We start from the raw sequence: 4764 nt of genomic DNA, 5'->3' as shown, positions 1-4764 counted from the left end.
CCAGTTTTCAAAGGGAATGCTTCCAGTTTTTGCCCATTCAGTATGATATTGGCTGTGGGTTTGTCATAGGTAGCTCTTATTATTTTGAGATACATTCCATCAATACCTAATTTATTGAGAGTTTTTAGCCTGAAGGGTTGTTGATTTTGTCAAAGGCCTTTTCTGCATCTATTGAGATAATCATGTGGTTTTTTGTACCTGATTTTAAAAGGGACTGATAAAGTAGCTTAAATGGGAAATAACAGAAGTAACTAATATACTATCCATGATCTATGATGTATCCTTTCTTTTGTGCATGTGATGTGTGTGTATGCATGCACATCCATAGGTATAATACGTTAACACTCAGATGATGTTATGTACTGAATGTTTGTGTCCCTCCAAAATGTGTATGTTGAAGCACTAACTGCCCCCACCCCCACCATGTGATGGTGTTTAGAGATGTCTTTGGAAGATAATTAGGGTAAGATGAGGTCATGAGGTTTCAGCCCTCATGATGGGACTAGTGCTTTTATAAGAAGAGATATCAGAAAGCTCTCTCTGTCTCTCCATGCATGCACATGTGTGAAGAAGAGGTCATGTCAGCATACAGCAAGATGGCAGCCACCTAGAAACCAAGAGAAGAGGCCTCAAGATAAAACCTACCTTGCCAACACCTGGACTTCCCATCCATTGGTCTATGAGAAATATATTTTTGTTGTTTAAACCACCAGTCTGTGTATTTTGTTGTGGCAGTCCTAGCTGACTAAGACAGATTATTTCTGACTCCCAAAGAGGATCAGTTAGTATTTCTGTGGCCCCATCTCTACATAGCAACAATATCAACTTTAGCATAATTAACTTGTCCTTCTGAGTCATTTTTATGCCAATATATAGATATCAGTAGGACCAACAGTGTCAAAAAACACATTATACTTCAAAATGTTTTTATTGATTATATTCAACACCTCTAGGATCACATTCTCTCACTGAATACAGGCCTTAGGAGAATGAACTTTCTTATTTCTCTAATTAATTTTCTTGAGAAAGCCCACTTATGCCACTTTTGCCCTTTTTGTCTTCAAAGATTGAGGTGGAGTCAGTTAGCTAAACAAATAATGCCCATATGTGTCCCATAAGTAAAGAGGAGGAGACAGGCTATGAAACCCCAGCATCTTAATAGTTTTCTGATTAAGCAAATTATTTTATATTTTTAGATTTATTTTTATATGAACTACCCATTTGTATCTCATATGCTAGATACACTTAATGATTGTCATCTATTTAATAAATTCTTAAGGTACAATGGGCCTACCTCACAGATATTGCAGGTTCTGTTCCAGGTCATCAAAGTAAAGCAAATATCACAATGAAGTGAGTCACACACTTTTTTTTATTTTGGAGTGCATATAAAAGTTATGTGTACACTATACTGTAGTCTATTAAGCATTCAATAGCATTATGTCTAAAAAATGTACATAAGTTAATTTATGTACATTTTAATGTACGTAATTTAAAATAAGTTATTGCTTTAAAAAATTGTAGACACACAGACACAAAGTGAGCATATGCTTTCAAAAAAATGGCATCAATTTTCAATTTGTAAAAATACACAATAAAGTGAAGCACAATAAAACCGGTATGGCTGTATATCTTTCCCAACTTCAAAATATTTACTGTGATAACAAGCCTTGTCACCTGGAACTCTCCTACCTTGAAATTATTGTCAACATTCAAATATGTCAATCCATTAGTGACAACCTAAGACCTCAAGGCTTTGAAAGGGTCTTTGAAAAAAAAAAAAAGAAGTCCACAGTCCAAAGTCTCATCTGAGACAAGTCAAGTCCCTTCTGCCTACGAGCCTGTAAAATCAAAAACAAGTTAGTTACTTCCAAGATAAAAAGGCATTGGGTAATACACCCATTCCAAAAGGGAGAAATCAGCCAAAACAAACGGGCTACAGGCCCTGTGAAAATTTCACTTAACTATAATAAGGAGTTCTTATTTATTTACTTGCCCAGGGGCTTGACGGGAATTATTGCACCCTAATAGGACTCAATGATAAAAATTATTTTGTTTTCCACATCAGAAATTTTATGTAAGAGACAGTAGTATAAAGCCTGGATTTTTGGAATCAGACCTAGGTTCAAAGTTCAACTTCAACACTCTATATTACAGAGCTTCCCACTATCGATCTTCCTCTAACTGTTAATACAATTTTAGCTCAGGTTGGTGAAAAACATTGATCCTTTGGTTGAGTTCCCCAAGAGTAGCCTCACTGAAATAATCTAGCAACAGTAATTTTATTCAAAGACAGGTTCTTAATACAAAAAGACCCAGAGTACCTAAAATTAAGCTAACTTCTCCTTTTAGAGTAATCAAGCTTTGAAGAGAGAAGCAATAGATTCTTTATTATTATTATGAACACTCAAGGAATATTTATAACATAGTGGAATCAAGTTGAGTCACCAAATTTACTGCTTGCTTAGATATGTCTAAAAATTACAGGAAATTGAAAAAGCAATACCCTTGTCGAGTTCATAAAAGCCAACCAAAAAACTACCAATTGAAAATGTAGTGAAAATTAACAAGATGAATCATCCAAATTGAAAAATGAATTCAATTCAACGTCATTTAGATGAATAAAAAAGCCTAGATTCTAGAGATAATACCTCAATGACATTTCCCATGTTGCTTTTGCAGATGAGTGACCTATGTCTTCAGTTCAGCAGCATAAAGGGAGCACTGTGGATCTCTGGCAATGTTTATTTGAGGAGTTTTCTAAAGTAATATTACTTCTGAGCTAGAAGCACTGATTAGAAAATTGAACTATGGCCCTATGTTTAAGAGGTTATCATTTTTAATACCACAGACTAAAAAAAGCACACAGATAAAATAATAAATCAAGGCCTTCTGTGATATACAGACGCAAAGTGGCTATCCCCAAATCACACAAGTCCTATCTAGTAAAAACAGAAATGACTTTGCATGTTCTCTCCCTCCCCAGGGTTCCTAGGGAGGTGAGGGTTCCTTTTATTAAACAGGTTTTCGCACTTCCAATTATGACACAGTGAATTGATTGTGTAATCACATCCCAAACATTGAAGTCAGCCTAACTTTGTTTTGGTTTCTAAGGGGTGTGTTTGTTTTTTTCATTTCAACCCAGGATTGTGTATGTTTTCCTTGAGTTTTACCACTAAATGTGGAGCACTCACTTTCTTCTTAAATATGTAGGCTTATCTTATCATCTACAATACTTTCAGGTTACACTTTTGAGTATCTTAATTTAGAAAATTATTTTAACATAGGATTGTTTTGTAACCACTTAGCAAATTAAAGTTAATACTTTAGGCAAAAGAAGGCAAATTTGGAGGCTTGGACATCAGCAAGATGACAAAATAGTAATCTCCAGCATTTATCCCCTCACATAATGTTAATTTGAATAACAACTTGAACGAAAATAGCTTCACAAGAACTAAGGAATTCAGGAGACAGATTATAGCACTGGGTGGAGCACAGAAATAATAAAAGATACATTGAAGAGTACAGTTTCATAACCTGAGTCACCCTTCTCCCAAGCCCATGCAATGTGGTGCTGAGAAAGATACCCTCTGCTTGGGGGAAGGGGAGTGAGGTGAATATCCAACTTTGTCATGAACCAGACCTGCTCTAGTGAACCCTGATGCCATATCCGCCCCCATGGACCCAAGCACCAGGCCAGCCCCAACAGACCCAGGCTCTAGGCCTACCACAGCATCAGGCCCATCCCCAGGAACCCAGGCTCTAGGCTCACCTCAACCTCAGACTGACTACTGCAAGCCTAGGTTCCATGCCAGCCCTTGTACCAGATTCCAGGCCCACCCTAGCATCATAACAACCCACCTGGCCAAAGGCTCCAGGCAAACCCTTGCAGACCCACACACTAGGTCTAATCAAGTGCCAGGCCAGCCCCCATAGATTCAGCTTCTAAGCTAACCCCTACATACCCAGGCTCCAGGCCTACTCCAGTATCAAGCCAGCCCCAGTGGCCTCAATCTCCAGGTTTACCCCTGTGTATCCACATTCTTGGACCACCCTAGTGCCAGACCAACCACCCACAGGATTAGGCTCAAAGCCTGCCCCAGTGCCAGTTCAGCCCCCATAGACTCAGGCTTCATGCTGGCCCCCAAGGACACAGGATCCAGGCCCAGCCATGTAAACACAAGCTCCAGGCATGCCCAAGTGGACCAAGGTTCCAGGCCCACCCCTATGGACCCAGGCACAAGGCTACACTCTGTGGACACAGGTATCAGACCTGCCTACTCAATGACCCAAGCACTAGGCTACCCTACCCAAGGACTCCAGCAGCAAGCTAGTTCATGGGCCTCATCAGCTTTCCTGCCCAGAATCTCTGAACAGGCTGACTAGTGAAGCATTTTCTCTGCCAAAACCAGTTTGTAAAGACTTGAAATGGTGCCGACTTCTTCAAATGTGCAGACACTAATGTAGGTTACAAGAATCGTGAATAATCAGGGAATGATGACACCATAAAAAAGAAAAAAACAAGAAAAGCACCAGTAATGAACCCTAGAAAAATGAAGATCTACAAACTGCCTGAAATATAATTAAAAATAATTGTCTTAAAGTAGCTCAGTGAGCTACAAGAGAACATAGACAGACAAGTAAACAAAATCATAAAAATAATACATGAACTAAGTGAGACATTCAACAAAGTGGCTAAAACTATAAAAAAGAACAAAACAGGAATTCTGGAACTGAAAAACACAATAACTGAACTGAAAAACT

The sequence above is a fragment of the Homo sapiens genome, chromosome 3 (genome assembly GCF_000001405.40).
Source record: "Homo sapiens chromosome 3, GRCh38.p14 Primary Assembly".
NCBI lineage: Eukaryota > Metazoa > Chordata > Mammalia > Primates > Hominidae > Homo > Homo sapiens.
This window is presented reverse-complemented; position numbering follows the sequence as displayed.